We start from the raw sequence: 25052 nt of genomic DNA on the forward strand, positions 1-25052 counted from the left end.
AGGCACAGTGGCCTGTAATGCCAGCACTTTGGGAGGCCAAGGCAGGCGGATCACTTGAGTCCAGGAGTTTGAGAACAGCCTGGGCAACATGGTGAAACCCTGTCTCTAAAAGAAAAAATATATATATATACAAAAATTAACCAGGGGTGGTGGTGCATGCCTGTAGTCCCAGCTACTCGGGAGGCTGAGGTGGGAGGATCACTTGAACCCAGGAAGCGGAGGTTCCAGTGAGCGGAGATCGTGCCACTGCACTCTAGTCTGGGTGACAGAGTGAGACCCTGTCTCAAAATAAAATAAAAAATAAAGGCGGAAGATTGGACAGAGGGAGGATACTCTTGGTTAATGGCACCACCATCTAACCAGTTGTTTCAAATACATAGTTGGTTCAAATATAAAGGGAGAAACAAGCCTGATGAAAAAACAGTGAAAACAACTTGGAGATATTGGATTTGAATTATCTCAAAATAGTAAAGAAAATTATATAAGCAGATTACTAGAAATATGTCTAGAATTCAAGACAGAGATAAAAGCTGGAGGAAAGCCAGGGAATGGAGACAGCAGTGTTCTCTACTGCTGTCTTAACCCTTTCTTTCAGAGCCACATATAAAAGCAGTTCACTGGCACCTCTGCTTCCTGGGTCCAAGTGATTCTCCCACCTCAGCCTCCCAAGTAGCTGGGACTACAGGCATGCGTTTTTATACTATTTTGAGAGAATTCAAATGCAATATCCCCAGGTTATTTTCACTGTTTTTTCATTCTCCCAAAGGAAAACTGTTTGTCTCCTAAATCAAGGAGCACGTGAGCCTGTAAAGTTCCATAGCAGAGAGGAAATAAGTGATGGGTAGGAGAAAAAAAAACAAGAAGAAAGAGGCATACCCTTCTATAATACTACAGCCAGAAAAGGGTAAAATGAGGCCCCAAAGTTCAGGCATATGTATATGGCCATTTAACTAGGACTTTTTAAGCAATAAGCATGCTGTGCTTAGGCTGTCTCAGCACTATTGTTAAATGCTTTAATTATGTAACTTTTGATACATTCATGTTATCATATGTTGTAATTATTGTTGTTACTATTACATTTTCTCTATATAGCACTTATTATGTATGGGGCAATGTACTAAGTAGCTTTACAAAAATTATTTCTTTTAATCCTCACCAAAACCCTATGAGGAAGTATTTCTCCATTTTATATATGAGAAAACTGAGGGATAGAAAGGTTAAATAACTTGCCCTCAAATACTCAGCAAATAAAGGACAGAGTTGAAAATGGAACCCAGGCAGTCTAGCTCCAAAGTCCATGATCTTAATCATCAAGTTATACTACCTCTTTTCAGGTGGATAAAGAATACTTTTGGTTACTAACTTAATCTGAAGACAACTATTTTCTAGTAGGAAATATTTCTAATTTTACAATACATGTAGGAGAAAATTGAGTTTACTGATCAGAAACTTGCTAGACTACATTATTAAGTAAAAAAACACACAGAATTAAAATATTATTTAAAACATCTGTACATTTTTAATCTGTATAAACATGTATATATAACAATAGTTCTCATCTATATAAATATGTACATATAATAATTGTTCTTAAATTTTACTATGCATCAGAATTTCTTGGTGGGCTTGTTAAATGCAGATTGCTGAACCCCTACTTCAAACCCCAATCTTTCCCCTATTACTTACGAAATAAAGTACAACTTCTTTTCAGCATGGCTTACCTTTGGCCATGAGGCATCGTCTAACCATCTTTCAATAAGTTTTTAGTACATTACCTATTTTTTTATGCTTTCCCTAATACAACCCTTCCTAATAAAGCCATACATTCCTTCTATGATTCCAAAGCACCTCTAAAATAGTAAAAAACAGAACAATGATAATAATATCAATTAACTCTGTGGGGCATTCCCAAGGAAACATGAATTACCTCATTCAATCCTCATAACAACTCCTCAGGATAAAGATTATAATTATTCTCACTGTACATATGGGAAAAAAGTGAGACATGGAGAGGTTAAATTGGGCATGGTAATACAATCAGCAAGTAGAAAAGCTAGGATTCTACCACTGCAATTATACTATATAAGCAATTACTAGATTGTTCAGTACTTGGATACTATTTAGATACTAGATTTTTCTAAGTACTAATGTAAATAATTTCCTTATTCATTTTTACACTTATTTAACTGACATTTACTGACTGCCTATCATATGCCAGGCATTGTGTTAGGCACGAAAGACTATCATGTTAAAATACAAGGGAAGACCCAGTACCTGCTCTCTTGAGACATGGAATCCAGTGGAAAAACCAAACATTAAATTAAAAATCAGAGAAATATTTCAAGAAATATGTGTTAAAGACAAAAAGTACAAGGCACTCCAAGATTATAATAGGAAGATCTAAGCTGTTTATAGTTATTGTACTGGCAGTGTCCTATTACAAGAGTATAAGTTACACAGAATTTGCATTTCAGGATGCCAAATAATTCCATTTCAAAATGACGCTTTCAAAATCAAATTAATTAATTATAAGACCAAAGTCATATAGTTAAAATTTAAAACATATTATTTAAAATGAAATTTAAATATGTCAGCTCTTTATTTTTCCCCTTAGCAAATGGAGCTATTACGCATCTGACACAGAATGTAATAAATATAAACTATCCAAAACTAATAAAATAGCATTTGAAAATGTCCTTGCAATATTGGTCATGATAAAGGTAAAATAATATGCCAAGTTCCTGACAATCCTAGTAGTGCATAAAGTACTTCCATTTTGGACAATGCTAACTTTCTTATGATTGAATTAGATCCATGACTTAATATACATCATTTGTAAGATTTTTTTTTTTTTTTTTTACAAAAAGCAGACTTCTTTCATAATAAATTTCAAAATGAAAACCAATGTTTTTTTACAGAGGAAAAATGCCTAAAAGTCCAAATACTGATCTTACAAAGAGACATGAAAGGTAAAATCAAGTATGAACCAGGCCTGGATTCCCACATCTTCAGTTTCTATTTATCAAACAGAAAAATCTTTCCAACTTTCTCCTTTCCTGTATAAGACCAAAACTATGCAATATTCTGTTTGTATTACAATTACACTAATTCAATGCAGGTCACTTGCTTTTTACTGAGTCCAGATGACATTCAGTAAACTAAACATGGGCCAATTAGTTTAAAAAAAAGAGGAAGAAAAGAAAAAAGGAAGAAACGAGTGAGTTCTGATTGCCTTTGGGTAGGTCATACAGTGGCTACAGAGCATCACAGCCTGAACTTCATTTTGGCTAACACCAACCATACGGCTAACATTAAGGACTAGCATTTTTTATTCCTTTCAGATTTCTCACATTTGGAAATTCCAATTTAAATAATTTTCTGGTGAAAGTGAGGACAGCACTCCTGCATAATATCAGTTTTCCCCTAATTCAACTCCAATGTCTTATTTTGGAGCTACTAAAATGGAATCTGCACAATGTCTAAAAAAGTATAATAATCCTTTTTAACCAATTTTTTTATGTATTACAGTTTTAAATGAGCAAATGAAACTGATAATTTAGCTGACACAAACCCACACAAAAAAAGATGGTCTAAAGCTATGAAGTTTCAACATCAATGTTTGTAATCTCAAATCAACCTGAACCACCATACAATTAGGTATATGACAAACTAAGTAATAGAAATATTCATAACTAAAAGCAATATTATTTTTAAATATCTTATTAGGTGTTGGCACCCAACATTTTCTTATAATCTATCATGTAAAGAAATCTGTTTTACTATTCCTTTTAAACTCTCTACTCATGCTACTTTAGGTGTGTTTCTAGAAATAAATACTAAACTCTCTGCTAATTTTTTTTGGCTAAGAAATTTTTTGAAAGTTATAATGTAACTAAGTTAAAATGTACATATAATCATAATTTGATATCAAGACTGCTTTCATACAAAAAACCTACATTAATTAATTCCTTAAGTAAATTTACACTTTATCAATTGTTGGTATTTTAAAAAGTACTCAAAAGAAACTCTTCATTCACCATTATTACAAAAATGGAAGTCTCCAAATATGTAAACTAGCTTGATTTTTAAATTTGTTACTTATTTAGCCTAATTTTTTTAAACTTGCCTAAATTTAACTGAAGAATATTATGTTCCTGCAAGTGTTCATGAATACAAAGATACAGTAATGAAGATGGAAATTATTTACTCTAACAATTCTGACTGCATGACTGTTAAATCACTTACATACGGCCAAATGATCTACAAGGAAGCAGGGAGGTCCTGAAATTGTGTACTCATATCCATTTTCAACTACTGCACAGGTGACACAACCAATCAAGGCATTACTGAAACAGAATGGGAATAGAAAGGACTTAGTGAATAAAAGTGACTTCTTTAGACAAAAATGTAGAGGTTAGCTTGTGACCAAGGTGGAAGAAACAGCAGCACCATTCCTCCCATTGCTTGTTCATATTAAGAGAAAACTGAGACCACTAAGAGGCAAAGGACAGAGGACAGCAACACCAGCAAAGAGACAGGCAGCAGTGGGGTCAGAGCATGAGAACAGTATTAAGAGTTAAACATAGAGCACAGAGGGGGTGGTTTAAAATGTCAGTTTTACTCAATTATTTATAGGACAGTTCTTGGAAATAATGTTACAATGAAATGTTGGTTATATAAAAATCTTATTTAATGTAGTAATTACTATTTAGACAAGGGCAAATATAGTAAATATTAAGTAAAAATTAACAATAATTAAAATGGGCTTATGGTCTGAAATAGACATATTATGGGAAAGGATTACTGTTCTAACAACTACGCATAAAGCTGTGAAAAGGCAATAGTTATACTAGTCTGTAGAAACAGTACTCTAAAAGTTACAATAAGGAGATACACTTTTTTTTTTTTTTTTTTGAGCAAGGTCTTATTCTGTCACCCACACTGGAACACAGTGGCATGATCACAGCTCACTGCAGTCTCAACCTCCTGGGCTCAACCGATCCTCTCACCTCAGGTTCCTGAGTAGCTGGGACTACAGGCGCATGCCACCACACCCAGCTAATTGTTTTTGTATGTTTTGTAGAGACAGGGTTTTGTCATGTTGCCCAGGCTGGTATGAAATTCCTGGGCTCAAGCAATCCACCCACCTCAGCCTCCCAAAGTGCTGGGATTATAGGCATGAGGCACCATGCCTGGTCCAATATGGATATTAATCCTCCTGAAATAGATGGGATTTTAAAATGCAATACTCAGTTTCAATGTTGAAATGTGCTCTTCTTTCACTGAAAATGACATGACACTGTGAAAGCTTTCTTCTAACACAGGAATTTTTAGACCTTCACACAAGTTTTCATAATGTTTAATACTTTCAATAAGCTTCATGACTATTAATGCTTTGGGGAAAACTTACTTTTTGTTTCTTTATTTGCTTTTCAAAACCAAAGGCATATAGTAATAATTCATTATGCTTTTACAATCAGGTTTCATCTGATGTCAATGTTACCTTTCATATCTTTTTAAGTGTTTTTCCATGTTAACGTGAAGGTGTGTTTCTTAACTTCACATAGCAAGAAACAAAGACACGCCTTTGTTCAATTTAAATATTTTGGTTCCTGGCCAGGCGCGGTGGCTCACGCCTGTAATCCCAGCACTTTGGAAGGCTTAGGCAGATGGATCACCTGAGGTCAGGAGTTCAAGACTAGCCTGGCCAACATGGTGAAACCCCATCTTTACTAAAAATACAAAAATTAGTTGGGAGTGGTGGTGTATGCCTGCAATCCCAGCTGCTTGAGAGGCTGTTATTTGTTATATGTTATTCCATATTCCCTATTCTATTCTATTCTATTCTACTCATTCAGAGACAGGATCTCACCCCATCACCCAGGCTGGAGTGCAGTGGCGCGATCACGGCTCACTGCAGTCTTGACCTCCTGGACTCAAGTGATTCTCCCACCTCAGTCTCCCAAGTAGCTGGGACTACAGGCACAAGCCACTATGCCAGGCTAATTTTTGTACTGTAGACACGGGGTTTCACCATGTTGTCCAGGCTGGTCTAGAACTCCTGAGCTCAAGTGATCTGCCTGCCTTGGCCTCCCAAAGTGCTGGGAATACAGGCTTGAGCAACTGTGCCTGACCTCCATATTCATTTTATTCAAAAGAATTTTATACACAAAATTGTGGCAAAACTTCAAGGAAGAATATATTCTTTTGTAGTTCTGTAATCTAGTGGAAAAATGTGATATAAAAAAACATAAAAGTTAATGATATACTAGTGAAGGGTTCCTAATATTCAATTAACTTTGATTTTATTCTCAATCTATTTTATACTACCATTCTTCTTATGAAAATATCTTCAACACTTTCATTGTACCAATAAACAACAATACAATAATTAACAATTTGCATTTATTATTAAAGTATTAAATTTAAAACTCCAAAGCACCTACTTGAAAGGAACATTCCAATATAATTTAATTATTCTTGGTCATTTGCTCATGTTTCCTTAAATATAAATACAGTATACCTAACAAATAATAAGCATAATTATAAATATTATCACATTTTACAATTTTTTATTCTAATAAAGAAAACATATGCTCAAATAATGGAATTTAACTATAAAATCTAATTTTTAGCTCATTGAAAAAACATAAAAAAGGATGATCAAACTATTTACCAGTCTTAAATATTTAAGAGTATAATATGTTTATACTACTATATTTATATGTTATAAATACAGACTATATATTAACACATTTATAACTATAGTAATATGTATTTATATAGTATAAAAATATACTACTATATATAATACTGGCTTTTTAAATACATTTCCTAATTTCCTTTATTTACTACTTTAACTTTGTAGTTTATAATTTACAAATTTCCCAGCACTATATCTTCCCCACAAGAAGATTTCCCTTTCTAGTGGCTACTAACATACAATGTTTAAGGATTAATTAATGATAGATTGGTTAATGAATCTGCAAAATATTTAGCTCTTTTATTTCCATTTTTCTCTCCTGCTAATTGACTTTTGACCATGTTAGTGTTTATTAAGCTCAAGATCCAAATTAGCTAAATTCTTGCCCTCCCAAACAGGAGGCAGTCTAAAGCAAAGGTGTTGGTTGACTGCAAGTTCTGGTGGAATTTACCTATTAATCAGTTCTACACCATTTTGTCAAATCTGAACCAATATAGTGCCAAAAGAACATTCTTAAATATTAAGACTTTTATCTTTGGCATACAGGATTCATTCATCCAACAAATACATACTGAGTAACTACTATGGGCCAAGCACTGTTCTAGTGCTTAACATATATTAGTGAACAAAAGAAATAAGAAATTCCTGCCCTCATGTTGCCAATTTACCAACCCTGTGCTGTGCTCCACACTAAAAATACAAAATTGAAGATACTACCCCTTACTTAAAGAAGATTTAATCTAATCAAAGGCAAGAAAAATGTCCTCAATGCAACTTATCATATAATGCTAAAATATGCATATGTAAATGGTAGCAGAAGCATATATAAAGTGCCATGAAGAGTAGAGGGGAAGAAGCCTCTGTGCAGATGTTACTGAGTACAACATCACAAGGAGTATAATTCTCTCTGCCTATAACAATCAAACACAGGCATTCCAACCTGAGAACAGATATGCCCAATACAGCTTTATATCTAACTCTATGTTGTCTTTCTTAGAGGTAAATCAAGGTGCTGCTTTACAGACCTTCATAATTAATGTCCCCTTAGCATCTTCAAGAGTTAATGGAAAAGGAGGGAAAATTCTAATCACTACATGTTGACACTTTTTAGTAGCCAAGAAAAGTTCTCAAAGAATGACAATTTAAAAAATTAACTTGTATACACTTTCTAGGTTAACCGTGGGCCTCAATAATCCCTACCATTCCAATACACAAATGTCACAAGTTCTCATTCATATGTGAGAGCTCAAACCAGTGGATCTCATGACATATGGAGTACACTTGCCATCACCAGAGGCCAGGAAGGGGAGCGGGGAGGGAGGAGTGAAATGGAGGGAAAAGGGAAATAAATGTATTTATTGGCACTGAGCTGTACACTTAACAATGGTAAAGATGGTTAATTTTTAAAATATTTTCAATAATAATATTAATAATTATCCTTACCATCCTTATCTCTTATTCACATGAAGACATTAGTTACCATTTATTAAGTGCCTCCAGCAGGAGAGGCACTGTGTACACCCTTTATATAACATTATTTCTAAGGCTTAAACCTTTAGAAGATTAGTATTTTTATTACCCAGTTTTTCACATGTGAAGACTGAGAGTGGGAGAGATTGTATAATTTGCCCAAGGTTGTACACCATTTGGCCTGGAATGTAAAAGAAATCCATACGAACACAAAGTCAAGGATCTTTTCACTCTACCTGATAGCTGCCCACTCCCATAAAGAATCTAATATTGAGGGATATTAATTCCTCTTCTATGATTATTTTTAACCATCCTATATGTAGATAAATATGTAAACTGATCTAAAACAGTTTACATCCTTGTTGAAAACAGGATCACATATGATTACCTAGCCTGCTAACCCAGACAGGCAGATGGATGGACAGGCAGATGGAAGAATGAACAAAATCTCAAGTATAATGACATCCAAACTGTTTAAATCTACTGCACAGTGTTCTTATAAATCTTCAATGGCAAGTCCATTTGACTGACACTATTTCTAAAAGAACAATTAGGCTAGGCACAGTGGCCCATGTCTGTAATCTCAGCATTTTGGGAGGGCAAGGCAGAAAGATCACTTGAGCCCAGGAGTTTGGGACCAGCTTGAGCAACATAGTGAGACCCTCACCTCTACAAAAATATTTAAAAATTAGCTGGGTGTGGTGGCACACACACCTGTCGTCTCAGCTACTCCAGAGGCTGAGGTGGAAGGATCACTTGAGCCTGGGAGATCAAGGCTGCAGTGAGACATGATTGCTCTCCACTGCCCTCCAGCCTGGGCGACAGAGAGCTCAAAAAATAAAATACAATAAATGAAAGCACAATTAAACAAAAAATAAACTTACCTTGAGATCTTTGTAACACCTTTATTATCCCTATTATTACCTCATCTTCTATTAATGTCCTTCTGGCTCACTCCAGCCACACTGGCCTCTGGTTAAGAATCAAAGAGCCAAGCATGTTCCCATCTCACACAGACTTTGTACTGTCTGTTCCCTCCAATCAAGGCAGTCTTACCCCAGATGGCTCACTCCCTTGTGTGCTTCAGTCTTTAGCTTAGATATCTCCTTCTTAACAAGGCATCCTTGACTACCATTTAAAAGTACAATCAGACCTTCATACTCCCTAATCACCATCCAATGATATATTTTATGTATGTGTTATATTTATTATGTCTAACCCAACCAGAATATAAACACAATGAAGGCAGGAATTTTTGTTTTACTCAAGGCTATATATCCTGCCCATAGAAAAGTGGCTGATGCACAACAAATATTTGTTGAATGAATAAATGAACTTTGTGACCAGGCACAGTGGCTCATGTGTATAATCTCAGCACTCTGGGAGGCCAAAGGAAGGATAGCTTGTGCCTAGAAGTTTGAGACCAGCCTGGGCAACATACTGAGACTTCACCTCTACAAAAAACTTAAAAATTAGCTGGGTGTGATGGCATGCACCTGTAGTCCCAGCTACTCAGGTCAATGTGGGCTGAAGTGGGAAAATCTCCTGAGCTCAGATATTTGAGGCTGTAGTTACTATGATCACACCACTGCACTCCAGCATAGGCAACAGACAAAGACCCCAACTCAACAATAATAATAACAACCACAATAATAATAATACTAAATGAACTTCATTATTTGGAACCTAAAGAGGAATTGTATAAGTTCAATTTCATCACTGATAAATAATTCAATTAAAGACTTCTTTTAAAGCCAAGTTTTATATTATTTAGCACTACTGAACTTCCCCTTCTTATAAAATGTTTGCCTCCTTACTCTGGCCAAAAATCTTCTTTTCATTGCTCTTTAGAAGTTTAACATGATGAAAATCAGTGTTTGACTTTAAAAGTCAAAGTATGAATGAAACCGAACTTGTATAGACACATCTTTTAGCTCTCATTTCAATAAACTGTTATTAAATCCATAATCTTTTGAGAGAGCAACTCACAGATTAAAAATTAAAATTAATATTTTATCTGATGCTTTACGGCATCCATTGTATTGAATGCATTTGTTTAATATTTCTAAGTCTTTAGAAAAGCTTCTGAGAAAATTGATTTCCTTATGTTGTTTACAGTCTGTGACCAAATATTTTTAGGACATTCACATGAATAAAGGGTCCCAAATGCAACAGAAATTATAATCACATCATAACTTAAGCTTTAAATTATTCATGTCTTTTATGTTTAACAAAAAAACTATTATCCAAAACTATTTATTATATTAAAATATTTTTACTCAACAATCTTTTTCTCCTAAGGTCAATGAAGGCATATGACTCCTCCCCAATTATATAACTTTTTATTATTTTAATTAAATTAACTGATACCAGCATGTTTTAATATCATCCCTACACATTTAGAAGAAGTAAATAACCTAGAGATCAAAATACACAGTAAACCCATACAAACAGCAGTTTTTCATTGCCATCTCTCTATATATAAACATTGAATGCAATTCTATGAAAGTATGGCTCCACGTATTCAGATGAGGAATATGTCTGTTTACATGTGTCTCTTTCCCGGTCCACATTACAGGGGGACCTGTGTGTGCCTCCGTGGTTAAGATTTACTGCATGTTCACATTAAAGTCTCATTTCCAACATTTAAACATGCAGCCACAAAGACCAATTAGAACAGTTATTAGTACAACCCTTGGTGTACCAAAGATTTGGGAGTTCATAAAGTTGAAATTGATTGTTTATGGACAATTACAGGTACCAAAATGATTTAAAACATTTCAATTTTTGCTCTGCTGAACGAGACTCATTTAAACAGCAGAACTAGAAGCAGAGACTTAAATATCAACTTGTAATCAAAAATCACCAGTAATGTCTTAGCAGCGTGTTCATCCTCCTACTCAGTAGAGTCCTTAAACATACAGGGACTCCAATATTAGCTTCAAAACATTTTCAGAATGTCTAGCAAAAATATGTCAAACCTGGATCTCTGACTTAAAGGAACACACAAGGCCTAAGAAATAATTGCTGTCTCAAATACTGTGGAGTTAATAAGGTTTTAAAGTATATAAAGTTGCTATAGGCTAAACGGCACATTTTATATTAGACACCCTTTCTTGCTAAACACTGTATTATATATTAAACTGTAGCAAAAGTGAATGAATCTATGAGGAAAATCAAAATGAAATTTTCAAGTACTCACATAATGACATACCTCTAAACTGTGAGGTACTTTATGACAGAGTGTGTGATTCATTCATCTTTTAATTCCTAGTGCTTGAATACAAAGTTGATATTCAGTAAACACTGATTGAATAGAAAAATGAGTAAATACAACTTGAAGAATAACTATGTAATGAGATTTCTGATTTTACAAAACACTTTCACTACTTTTCTAATTATATATATATACATATATAGATATAGATACAGATATAGATAGATATAGATACAGATATAGATATCGAGTAGAGACAGGGTTTTGCCATGTTGCTGGTCTAGAATTCCTGAGCTCAAGCAATCCACCCACCTCGAACTCCCAAAGTGTTGGGATTACAGGCGTGAGCTATCATGCCCAGTCGTGCTTCACCACTTTTCAATGTCAACTTCAAGAAAATGAAAATTGCACCTTTCTGAACAAACTTTAAGTCTACCCTAAACTGCTAAGAATCAACACTAAGAGCAGATGACATAATGTGTGGGAAAATAAAAAGTCAGCCAGCCAGCTGGACATCAGTCTCTTCTCTGACTGCTATGACTAAACTCTTCAAGGTTATAACTTTTCAAATGCTACCACTGTAATGAACTATTTCATTGCTAGTGTTACCTCCTTTCCTTGGTCTTCCCCTTTCTAGACAAGAATTCCTGTTATTATCTCATTCCCTTCTTGACTGCACTTTACACACTGGTTTCAATTTGTACTTGACCTAGTTCCCAGAAAACACCCAGTTTTCCTTTTCTCACTTAGTATCTTAATATTTGTAATATTAATAACCCACTTATCTATTCAATTGTTTAATTGTATTTTATCTATTATCTATTCAATTGTTTATTTCTATTTAATTGTAGTAACTCTATTCAGAGCTAGCCTATGCAAAAGAGAAGACAGCAGTCTTCAGATGTGACTTACTTAGTACAGAAAGATCCCAACCCTAATATATACAAACACATACACATGCAAACACACACACCTGCTATAAACCAAAATTAGAGATACATTTCTTTGTGTTAAACTCCTGCTTCTTGAGGTTCTTATTCTCCCTCTGTCCCTCTCAATTGTTCTGTCACTCTTTACCTCCTGCTTTTTTCTGTTTTACAGTAATTCTCTCCAGCTAACTTCACTCTTCTTTCTTCTACATACAACATCCAATGTGTCCAAAAAAATTCTGTGGGTTTTTGTTTCAAAATATATCCAAAACCTGATTAGGTCTTACCACCTCCACTGTTACCAACCTAACACATGCCACGATCATCTCTCACTTGGATTACTGCAGAGGCCTCCCAACTGGCCTCTTTCCTTCTATCTTTGCCCACCCCGCCCCCACAATCTGTTCTCAACAAAACCTAAGTAATCCTTTAAAAATGTAAATCAGATCTTATCACTCTGCTGCTCAAGGCCTGCCAGGGGTCTGTCTACAAGGCACTACTGATCTCACCTACCTCCATCACCTCCCTTACTTCCTGTCTTTCTCTGACATTATCTCCTACTTCTTTGTCCCTAGATCACTCTGCTCCCTTCTGCCTCTCCAAACACAAAAGGGCTTTCCATTGACCATTCCATCTGCCCAAAATGATCTCCCCAGGTATATGTGTGGTTTACTCCCACAATACCTGCAAGCCTCTACTCAAATATCACCTTCCCAAGGAGGCTCTGAACACCATATTTAAAATCACAAATTTGTCCACCAAAACTCCCTGTATCCTTCTTAGTGTACACTCTAGTTTTCTTTAATCATTTCCAAAACACTTATGGCTTTCTCATATTCTATATAAATTACTTATTATATATTGTTTTATATCTATTGCCTCCTTCTAGGATGTAATCTCTGATATATCCCAAATGCCTAGAAAGGTATCTGGCAGAGTAGACACCGAATAAAAATTTGAATACATGAAAATATACTAGACTATCTTAAAATACAATAAATATATAGTATGTTCTTTTTGTTTGTTTTTTGAGACAGGGTCTCATTCTGTTACTCAGGCTGGACTGCAGTGGCACGATCTCGGCTCACTGCAACCTCAGCCTCTCAGGGTCCACAGGCAGGTGCCACCACGCCCAGATAATTTCTGTATTTCTTTGTAGAGACACAGTATGCCATGTTTCCAAGGCTGGTGTTGAATTCCTTGATACAAGCAATCCTCCCACCTAGGCCTCCTGAGTAGCTGGGATTGTAGGCATGAGCCATTGCACCCAGCCTTGATGTCATTATCTAATGTCTCCTCCTTAATAAATTGTTAATAACCCTTAATAAATTGTGGCTAACATACCTTTTACAATACAACTCTAGACCATTAATGTGTCCCATAAATCCTGTGTGCATCAGGAGGTATCTTTTTTGCCTCAATGCCTTTTATTAATGCACTGTCAGTATTCTACTTGGGCTTTATTCAAATACAAGCCTATAAAACTACTGAATCTTTTTCCATCCCTCCTACTTTCCCATTCTTGATTTTTCCCCTACCTTTCTCTACAACTCCAGGTGACCAGCAATGACAACCTAATATGTATCACTCCATACCTTCTTCTCCATCCTTAAATAACCACGTACAAACATATGTAGAGATTTAAAATTCTATTTTGTTTCTTTGGGAATGAAGTTGTCCCCATATATGCTCCTTCACATCTTATTTTTCTCATCTCATAGCAAACAGTGGAATATAACTACATTAATTGGTATACACAGAACTCCATTCTTTTTAATGGCCGCATGTTACAAGGCCAAAATGTATCAAATGTATTCAACTTTTCCCACCTTGTTTCCAGTTTTTTACCACTAATAAAAATACTGCAAAAAGATCCTTGCTTTGAAAAATGCATATATCCTTACATATTTATGCTTTTATTTTTATGAGATAAATTCTAGGGGTAAAACTGCCAAAACTGCTTTCCAAGAAAAGAAGTAAATGTCACATTTCTACCACAAATGCCTTTTGCTCTAATTTGCCACCAATATTGAGTGGAGCCATAACATTTTTAATTTTGGATATATGATGATATCTCAGCCAGGCACAGTGGCTCAAGCCTGTAATCCCTGTACTTCGGGAAGCCAAGGCAGATGAATCACTTGAGATCAGGAGTTCAAGCCAGTCTGGCCAATATGGTGAAACCCCATCTCTACTAAAAATACAAAAATAAGCCGGCTGTGGTGGCACCCACCTGTAGTCCCAGCTACTCGGGAGGCTGAGGCAGGAGAATCACTTGAACCTGGAGGCGGAAGTTGCAGTGAGCCAAGATTGTGCCACAGCACTCCAGCCTGGGTGACAGAGCAAGACTCCGTCTCAAAAAAAAAAAAAAAATTAGCCCGGGCATGGTGGCGGGCACCTGTAATCCCAGCTACTTGGGAGGCTGAGGAAGGAAAATCACTTGAAGCCAGGAGGCAGATGTTGCAGTGAGCCAAGATTGTGCACTGCACTCCAGCCTGGGCAACAAGAGCAAGACTCTGTCTCAAAAAAAAAAAAAAAAACTCAATGTTACTTTAATCTGCATATCCTAAAGTACTATTAATCATCTTCCTATGTGTCATTAGTCTATTGGGATTTGCATTTCTGTCAACTATTCATCTCTCTCCCTGTTTTTTATACTGGATTGTCTTTTGACACTAATTTGTAGTTTTTTTTAATATCGTAGATATCAACCATTTATCTGTAATTTGAAGTATAAATATTTTTCCCAACCTACCGCTTATCTATTGAGTTTGCTGCCAATGAGATCCCACATATAAGTTACAAAAAAAATCATTATATGATTAGATTTATTTTTCTTTCATAGCTCCTGCATTTCCTATGTTGGTTAGAAACTTCTCCCAAGTTTCTAATTCATGCATATAGTCCAGAATTCATATTCTTCCATGTAAGTCTCTAGTATACTTAGAATTTATTTAGGTATTGTAAGAGACCAAAGATTCAATTTTCTTTCAGATGAACAGATAATTCCAAATGCATGATTATCATTTTCCCATTGAGCTCAAATTTTCACATTTATCATATTAAATTCCCAACAGACTATTGTAATTACAGTAGCTTTAGAATTTATTTTAATATCTGGTAAAGCTATTCATTTCTCACTTTTTTCTCCATAATTTTCTTAGTCAACAAGTATGAACATTATGTTACCCAATTCCAATGTAAACCATAAAGGAATTTTAACTAGAACTGCAATTAACTTTTAAACAATTTTTGGTAAAAGATTATTATGATATAGTTTTTGCATGGCAACACAATATTATAAGAATTGGGAACATATTTTTAAAGCCAGCATGCTCTTTCCTTCATTTCAATTCCAGTGTAATGTCTTTCAATTAGATTTTTACGAATTTCTTCCTACAGAAGTGTACTTCTTTTGTTAACTTTATTCCTAAGGATTTTCTAGTTTTTGAAACTACTTTTAATTGATTACTTTTTCCAATTTTTCTTTAATAACATTATTATCAGCACTGAGAAAGGCTACCAATTTCTGTGTATTTTATATACAACTATTCACCAAATTATGTTATTAAGTCTGATAATATTTTACTGGTACCTTTTGGATATCATAAGCATACAATCATATCAGCAAAATAAAATGTATTTTTCCTCTTCTTTTCTAATGTTCATACAGATTATTTCATTTTTTACCTCATTCAACATGCTAGAACAAAACTAAATAACGATAATGATAATAATGATAATAGAGGACATACTTGTTATTAGAAATAACATTAGCATTCCACTGTTTAAAATGTTTACTTTTGAAGAATGGCCCGGAGGGCAGCCAAGATGACCGAATAGGAACAACTCTGGTCTACAGCTCTCAGCGTGAGCGACACAGAAGATGGGTGATTTCTACATTTCCATCTGAGGTACCGGGTTCACCTCACTAGGGAGTGCCAGACAGTGGGCGCAGGACAGGGGGTGCAGCGCACCATGCGCGAGCCAAAGCAGGGAGAGGTATTGCCTCACTCGGGAAGCGCAAGGGGTCAGGGAGTCCCTTTCCTAGTCAAAGAAAGGGGTGACAGAGGGCACCTGGAAAAGCGGGTCACTCCCACCCTAATACTGTGCTTTTCCGACGGGCTTAAAAAACAGCGCACCAGGAGATTATATCCCGCCCATGGCTCGGAGGGTCCTACGCCCACGGAGTCTCGCTGATTGCTAGGACAGCAGTCTGAGATCAAACTGCAAGGTGGCAGCGAGGCTGGGGGAGGGGCGCCTGCCATTGCCCAGGCTTGCTTAGGTAAACAAAGCAGCCAGGAAGCTCCAACTGGGTAGCACCCACCACAGCTCAAGGAGGCCTGCCTGCCTCTGTAGGCTGCACCTCTGGAGGAAGGGCACAGACAAACAAAAAGACAGCAGTAACCTCTGCAGACTTAAATGTCCCTGTCTGAACAGCTTTGAAGACAGCAGTGGTTCTCCCAGCACGCAGCTGGAGATCTGAGAACGGGCAGACTGCCTCCTCAAGTGGGTCCCTGACCCCTGGCCCTGGAGCCGCCTAACTGGGAGGCACCCCCAAGTAGGGGCAGACTGACACCTCACACGGCCGGGTACTCCTCTGAGACAAAACTTCCAGAGGAACGATCAGACAGCAGCATTCGCGGTCACGAAAATCTGCTGTTCTGCAGCCACCGCTGCTGGTACCCAGGCAAACCGAGTCTGGAGTGGACCTCTAGCAAACTCCAACACACCTGCAGCTGAGGGTCCTGTCTGTAGGAAGGAAAACTAACAAACAGAAAGGACATCCACACCAAAAACCCATCTCTACATCACCATCATCAAAGACCAAAAGTAGATAAAACCACAAAGATGGGGGAAAACAGAGCAGAAAAACTGGAAACTCTAAAAAGCAGAGTGCCTATCCTCCTCCAAAGGAATGCAGCTCCTCACCAGCAACGGAACAAAGCTGGACGGAGAATGACTTTGACGAGTTGAGAGAAGAAGGCTTCAGACGATCAAACTACTCTGAGCTACAGGAGGAAATTCAAACCAAAGGCAAAGAAGTTGAAAACTTTCAAAAAAATTTAGACGAATGTATAACTAGAATAACCAATATAGAGAAGTGCTTAAAGGAGCTGATGGAGCTGAAAGCCAAGGCTCGAGAACTACGTGAAGAATGCAGAAGCCTCAGGAGCTGATGTGATCAACTGGAAGAAAGGGTATCAGTGATGGAAGATGAAATGAAGCGAGAAGGGAAGTTTAGAGAAAAAAGAATGAAAAGAAATGAACAAAGCCTCCAAGAAATATGGGACTATGTGAAAAGACCAGATCTACGTCTGATTGGTGTACCTGAAAGTGACAGGGAGAATGGAACCAAGTTGGAAAACACTCTGCAGGATATTATCCAGGAGAACTTCCCCAATCTAGCAAGGCAGGCCAACATTCAGATTCAGGAAATACAGAGAACGCCACAAAGATACTCCTCGAGAAGAGCAACTCCAAGACACATAATTGTCAGATTCACCAAAGTTGAAATGAAGGAAAAAATGTTAAGGGCAGCCAGAGAGAAAGGTCAAGTTACCCACAAAGGGAAGCCCCTCAGACCAACAGCGGATCTCTCGGCAAAACTCTACAAGCCAGAAGACAGTGGGGGCCAATATTCAAGATTATTAAAGAAAAGAATTTTCAAACCAGAATTTCATATCCAGCCAAACTAAGCTTCATAAGTGAAGGAGAAATAAAATCCTTTACAGAAAAGCAAATGCTGAGAGATTTTGTCACCACCAGGCCTGCCCTAAAAGAGCTCCTGAAGGAAGCACTAAACATGGAAAGGAACAACCGGTACCAGCCACTACAAAATCATGCCGAATTGTAAAGACCACCAATGCTAGGAAGAAACTGCATCAACTAACGAGCAAAATAACCAGCTAACATCATCATGACAGGATCAAATTCACACATAACAATATTAACTTTAAATGTAAATGGACTAAATGCTCCAATTAAAAGACACAGACTGGCAAATTGGATAAAGAGTCAAGACCCATCAGTGTGCTGTATTCAGGAAACCCATCTCACGTGCAGAGACACACATAGGCTCAAAATAAAAGGATGGAGGAAGATCTACCAAGCAAATGGAAAACAAAAAAAGGCAGGGGTTGCAATCCTAGTCTCTGATAAAACAGACTTTAAACCAACAAAGATTAAAAGAGACAAAGAAGGCCATTACATAATGGTAAAGGGATCAATTCAACAAGAAGAGCTAACTATCCTAAATATATATGCACCCAATACAGGAGCACCCAGATTCATAAAGCAAGTCCTGAGTGACCTACAAAGAGACTTAGACTCCCACACAATAATAATGGGAGACTTTAACACTCCACTGTCAACATTAGACAGATCAACCAGACAGAAAGTTAATAAGCATACCCAGGAACTGAACTCAGCTCTGCACCAAGCGGAACTAATAGACATCTACAGAACTCTCCACCCCAAATCAACAGAATATACATTTCTTTCAGCACCACACCACACCTATTCCAAAACTGACCACATAGCTGGAAGTAAAGCTCTCCTCAGCAAATGTAAAAGAACACAAATTATAACAAACTGTCTCTCAGACCACAGTGCAATCAAACTAGAACTCAGGATTAAGACACTCACTCAAAACCGCTCAACTACATGGAAACTGAACAACCTGCTCCTGAATGACTACTGGGTACATAACGAAATGAAGGCAGAAATAAAGACGTGCTTTGAAACCAATGAGAACAAAGACACAACATACCAGATTCTTTGGGACACATTCAAAGCAGTGTGTAGAGGGAAATTTATAGCACTAAATACCCAAAAGAGAAAGCAGGAAAGATCCAAAATTGACACCCTAATATCACAATTAAAAGAACTAGAAAAGCAAGAGCAAACACATTCAAAAGCTAGCAGAAGGGAAGAAATAACTAAAATCAGAGCAGAACTGAAGGAAATAGAGACACAAAAAACCCTTCAAAAAATTAATGAATTCAGGAGCTGGTTTTTTGAAAGGATCAACAAAATTGATAGACCACTAGCAAGACTAATAAAGAAGAAAAGAGAGAAGAATCAAATAGAAGCAATAAAAAATGATAAAGGGGATATCACGACCGATCCCACAGAAATACAAACTACCATCAGAGAATACTATAAACACCTCTGTGCAAATAAACTAGAAAATCTAGAAGAAATGGATAAATTCCTCGACACATACACCCTCCCAAGACTAAACCAGGAAGAAGTTGAATCTCTGAATAGAACAATAACAGGCTCTGAAATTGAGGCAATAATTAATAGCTTACCAACCAAAAAAACTCCAGGACCAGAAGGATTCACAGCCTAATTCTACCAGAGGTACAAGGAGGAACTGGTACCATTCCTTCTGAAACTATTCCAATCAATAGAAAAAGAGGGAATCCTCCCTAACTCATTTTATGAGGCCAGCATCATCCTGATACCAAAGCCTGACAGAGACACAACCAAAAAAGAGAATTTTAGACCAATATCCTTGATGAACATTGATGCAAAAATCCTCAATAAAATACTGACAAACCGCATCCAGCAGCACATCAAAAAGCTTATCCACCATGATCAAGTTGGATTCATCCCTGGGATGCAAGGCTGGTTCGATATACAGAAATCAATAAATGTAATCCAGCACAGAAACAGAACCAAAGACAAAAACCACATGATTATCTCAATAGATGCAGAAAAGGCCTTTGACAAAATTCAACAATCCTTCATGCTAAAAACTCTCAATAAGTTAGGTATTGATGGGACGTATGTCAAAATAATAAGAGCTATCTATGACAAACCCACAGCCAATATCATACTGAATGGGCAAAAACTGGAAGCATTCCCTTTGAAAACTGGCACAAGACAGGGATGCCCTCTCTCACCACTCCTATTCAACATAGTGTTGGAAGTTCTGGCCAGGGCAATTAGGCAGGAGAAGGAAATCAAGGGTATTCAATTAGGAAAAGAGGAAGGCAAATTGTCCCTGTTTGCAGATGACATGATTGGATATCTAGAAAACCCCATTGTGTTAGCCCAAAATCTCCTTAAGCTGATAAGCAACTTCAGCAAAGTCTCAGGATACAAAATCAATGTGCAAAAATCACAAGCATTCTTATACACCAATAACAGACAAACAGAGAGCCAAATCATGAGTGAACTCCCATTCACAATTGCTTCAAAGAGAATAAAATACCTAGGAATCCAAATTAAAAGGGACGTGAAGGACCTCTTCAAGGAGAACTACAAACCACTGCTCAATGAAATAAAAGAGGATACAAACAAATGCAAGAACATTCCATGCTCATGGGTAGGAAGAATCAATATCGTGAAAATGGCCATACTGCCCAAGGTAGTTTATAGATTCAATGCCATCCCCATCAAGCTACCAGTGACTTTCTTCACAGAATTGGAAAAAAGTACTTTAAAGTTCATATGGAAAAAAAAAAGAGCCCGCATTGCCAAGTCAATCCTAAGCCAAAAGAACAAAGCTGGAGGCATCACACTACCTGACTTCAAACTATACTACAAGGCTACAGTAACCAAAACAGCATGGTACTGGTACCAAAACAGAGATATAGATCAATGGAACAGAACAGAGCCCTCAGAAATAACGCCGCATACCTACAACTATCTGATCTTTGACAAACCTGACAAAAACAAGCAATGGGGAAAGGATCCCCTATTTAATAAACGGTGCTGGGAAAACTGGCTAGCGACATGTAGAAAGCTGAAACTGGATCCCTTCCTTACACCTTATACAAAAATTAATTCAAGATGGATTAAAGACTTACATGTTAGACCTAAAACCAGAAAAACCCTAGAAGAAAACCTAGGCATTACCATTCAGGACATAGGCATGGGCAAGGACTTCATGTCTAAAATGCCAAAAGCAATGGCAACGAAAGCCAAAATTGACAAATGGGATCTAATTAAACTAAAGAGCTTCTGCACAGCAAAAGAAACTACCATCAGAGTGAACAGGCAACCTACAACATGGGAGAAAATTTTCGCAACCTACTCATCTGACAAAGGGCTAATATCCAGAATCTATAATGAACTCAAACAAATTTACAAGAAAAAAACAAACAACCCCATCAAAAAGTGGGCGAAGGACATGAACAGACACTTCTCAAAAGAAGACATTTATGCAGCCAAAAAACACATGAAAAAATGCTCACCATCACTGGCCATCAGAGAAATGCAAATCAAAACCACAATGAGACACCATCTCACACCAGTTAGAATGGCGATCATTAAAAAGTCAGGAAACAACAGGTGCTGGAGAGGATGTGGAGAAATAGGAACACTTTTGCACTGTTGGTGGGAATGTAAATGAGTTCAACCATTGTGGAAGTCAGTGTGGCGATTCCTCAGGGATCTAGAACTAGAAATACCATTGACCCAGCTATCCCATTACTGGGTATATACCCAAAGGACTATAAATCATGTTGCTATAAAGACACATGCACACGTATGTTTATTGTGGCACTATTCACAATAGCAAAGACTTGGAACCAACCTAAATGTCCAACAATGATAGACTGGATTAAGAAAATGTGGCACATATACACCATGGAATGATATGCAGCCATAAAAAATGATGAGTTCATGTCCTTTGTAGGGACATGGATGAAATTGGAAATCATCATTCTCAGTAAACTATCGCAAGGACAAAAAACCAAACACTGCATGTTCTCACTCATAGGTGGGAATTGAACAATGAGAACACATGGACACAGGAAGGGGAACATCACACTCTGGGGACTGTTGTGGGGTGGGAGGTGGGGGGAGGGATAGCATTAGGAGATATACCTAATGCTAAATGACGAGTTAATGGGTGCAGCACACCAGCATGGCACGTGTATACATATGTAACTAACCTGCACATTGTGCACATGTACCCTAAAACTTAAAGTATAATAAAAAAAAAAGTTTCCTTTTTTATATACTTTATATTTATGTACTCAAGAAAGGCTGTTGAATTTTATTCAATTTTTTCAGCATCCATTATCATCATCTAATTTTCCTTCTTCAATTTGATACACCCTACTTGATATTCTTTAATTTATGCAGAATTATTTTCAGTTAAAGGCTATTAATTAGTGCGTCCTTTTTATTTCAAAAATTCTTATTTAGTATGCTTCCAGTCACTCTATCATTATCCATTGGGATTTGGTAATATATATAGAAAGATTTATTGTTTATAACTGTTTCTTCTTCATAATCTTTCAAGGCCTCAATTCTGATTCATTTGCTGTTTGGTTATAGTTAGTTCAAGTATTTTCCTCAAATGAAGCAAATGAGAGTTATATTCTGTCAATCTCTGAATATCTAAACATATCTTTACTCTGAAAGGTGGATGAAATACTGGTTGAGTCACTCATTCATTTATTATTTAATAAGAATTACTCTACGTAATACAGATGGATACAAAATGACAAAAAACTCCCTGCCTTTAAAGAATACATATATTCCAGCAGACAAAGACAGACAATAAGCACATAAATGAATCAATTAATTAAATATAAAATGGTTAGAAGAGCTAAGAAAAAATAAGGCAAGGAAAGGAAAATCTTCTATAATATATACATAACAGTCAAGACCGACCTCTGATTTTGACAATAATGGCCATTCACCCATATATAGTGCTTTCTAAGTGCCAGGTACTGTGGTAAGTACTGGACACACATCAAATCATTCAATCACAAACAACCCTTCGAGATAGTTACTATGAAAATAAAAATGCTATAACTGGTGAAACTGAGGCACAAACAAGTTGATTTACCAAAGGTAAAACAGCAAATAAGTAGTAGAACCAAGCTGTCCAGCTCTTAACCATTATGTTTTCTTGCTTCTCTGATAATATGCCATTTCAGTAGATAATGAAAGGAAATGAGGGCAGGAGAGAGACCCATAGGGTTATATGGAAGAATAGAATTCCTAGCGAAAAGAAAAGCCACCACAAATCTTATAAACGCCATGAAAAATAGATATAAATACATTAAAATATTTGTATTATAATCTTAGACTCAACCTTAAAATATGTGGCTGAAACAATTCCTCACATGTATAGAGAAATGTTTAGGTTATATTACCTTATCACTCAAGAATTGATCAGATAAAGTACTCAGGATTAAAATGCAAAAAAGCAAAAAAAAGAGTATTAAGAGTATCTTAATGTGATTTCTTAAAATTTATTTCTAAAACTAAATGCTAGAATTATATAAAGTGAAGAAACACAGACACATTCTCAATAAAAATGGAAATAAAACTAGAATAACAGTCTACCTACCACCCCTATGTACCAATACTGTAATGGATCCTTTACACACAATTTCTCATTTAGTCCTTACAATAAGCCTGTGATTCCAATAAATCTATTGTGTCCATTTAATATATAAAGAAAGTAAAATTTAGGAGAATCAGTATATTGCCCTAAAGTCACATAATAGGAAAAGTGGGAAGAAATAAAATACAAATTTGTAAAACATCACTGTATACCTTAAACATATAAAATCTTTATATGTCAGTATATCTCAATAAAGCTGCTGAACATATGAATTTGTATGATGGCATGAGCACAGACTATTAGATCCAAGAAAATCAATTGTCTATGGTAAATAAGTTCAGCAAAATTATAGGATATATGGTAAATCCAAAAAAGTAATTCCCTATTGAAGCTGGACTGTGCGGTAGAGAAAAAAAATGAGCTTTGGAGCAAAATATGCTTGATTCAGGTCAGGCAGAGAAGGCTATGGAGTTAACTGAAGAGGGAGTGCTGCTGAGATTAGTACCTGCAGGGTCATGCTTGCAATAACCCTAGTGGATGCACCAGTGACAAAGTTGCTCAGCAACAACAGCAAACTAAAGCAAACATATCTGTTCCTAGTTCTGAGAGATCAAAAGGCAACCAACCCAAACTATGTAAGAAGTTAAGAACCTTACTCCCTTTCAGCCCTCATTCTCTTCTCTTCTCAATACTACTACTTTTACCTCCTGTTAACTACCTCATTTTTCTTTCTTTCCTTGCTCTTTGACTCTTTCTTGCTGACGCTTCCCTTCTAGGTCTCTTTTTTCCTTTCAATCACCCCCTATTGAACTGCTTTCTTCCCTCTCACCACCAGTTTGGTTTCAAGAGGATTCTTAAATAACTTCATTACCTCCAAATACATTTTGATCTCAAAGGTCATAGCTCTTCTTCCAATATTAGTAATTTAAGAATTACTAATGAGACAAATCCACAGGTTAACATGAAACAATTCCACATGTCACAGAGTTAAAAAATGGGTCAAACACACTGACCTGTTTATGTTAAAATATTATATGGCTTTAGAAAAAAATTATGCCCTAAATACAACATGCGCTGCATTAACAACTGCATTAACAACATTTTAGTCCTTTAGATATGCAAATACTTATTGTGTTACAATTGCCTACAGTATTCAGTACAGTAACATGCTGTAAAGGTTTGTAATCTAGGAGCAATAGGCTATACCATATACCCTAGGTGTACAGACAGCTATATTATCTAGGTTTGTATAAGTTCACTCTATGATATTCTTCACAGATTTCTCAGAATGTATTTCCATCATTAAGCAATGCATGACTGTATTAAAAATTCTTTCATACAATTTTTCATTATTTTTGCAAAATTCAAGGAGTAATATATCACTTATTTAACAAATGTTAACAGGATATTTCA

The 25052-nt window shown here is 36.4% G+C and overlaps 1 protein-coding gene across 20 annotated transcripts in view, besides 2 other annotated features; it reads right to left on the reverse strand.

Moving 5' to 3' along the window:
* The window catches only part of STK3 (serine/threonine kinase 3), a 598636-nt gene that overhangs the window by 290240 nt on the left and 283344 nt on the right, over positions 1–25052 (reverse strand). For 2 of the 20 annotated variants that reach the window (XM_011517257.3, XM_047422137.1), the window contains one exon: positions 236–4346. The exons of 17 other annotated variants lie outside the window; for them this stretch is intronic. In XM_011517257.3, the coding sequence (XP_011515559.2) occupies positions 4344–4346 (3 nt within the window). In that variant the 3' untranslated portion in view covers positions 236–4343. Of the gene's footprint in view, positions 1–235; positions 4347–25052 lie in introns of those variants that run through there. One more of the 20 variants, XR_007060755.1, reaches the window with a different exon arrangement.
* Positions 15865–16476: an enhancer, noted in NCBI's record as "H3K27ac-H3K4me1 hESC enhancer chr8:99662307-99662918 (GRCh37/hg19 assembly coordinates)". NCBI's record gives its function as "activates a minimal SCP1, AML or CMV promoter by ChIP-STARR-seq in primed H9 embryonic stem cells {active_cell/tissue: H9 hESC(primed)}" and the evidence as "EXISTENCE:reporter gene assay evidence [ECO:0000049][PMID:30033119]".
* Positions 16477–17087: an enhancer, noted in NCBI's record as "H3K27ac-H3K4me1 hESC enhancer chr8:99662919-99663529 (GRCh37/hg19 assembly coordinates)". NCBI's record gives its function as "activates a minimal SCP1, AML or CMV promoter by ChIP-STARR-seq in primed H9 embryonic stem cells {active_cell/tissue: H9 hESC(primed)}" and the evidence as "EXISTENCE:reporter gene assay evidence [ECO:0000049][PMID:30033119]".

Source organism: Homo sapiens, chromosome 8 (assembly GCF_000001405.40).
Source record: "Homo sapiens chromosome 8, GRCh38.p14 Primary Assembly".
In the NCBI taxonomy this organism is placed as follows: Eukaryota; Metazoa; Chordata; class Mammalia; order Primates; family Hominidae; genus Homo; species Homo sapiens.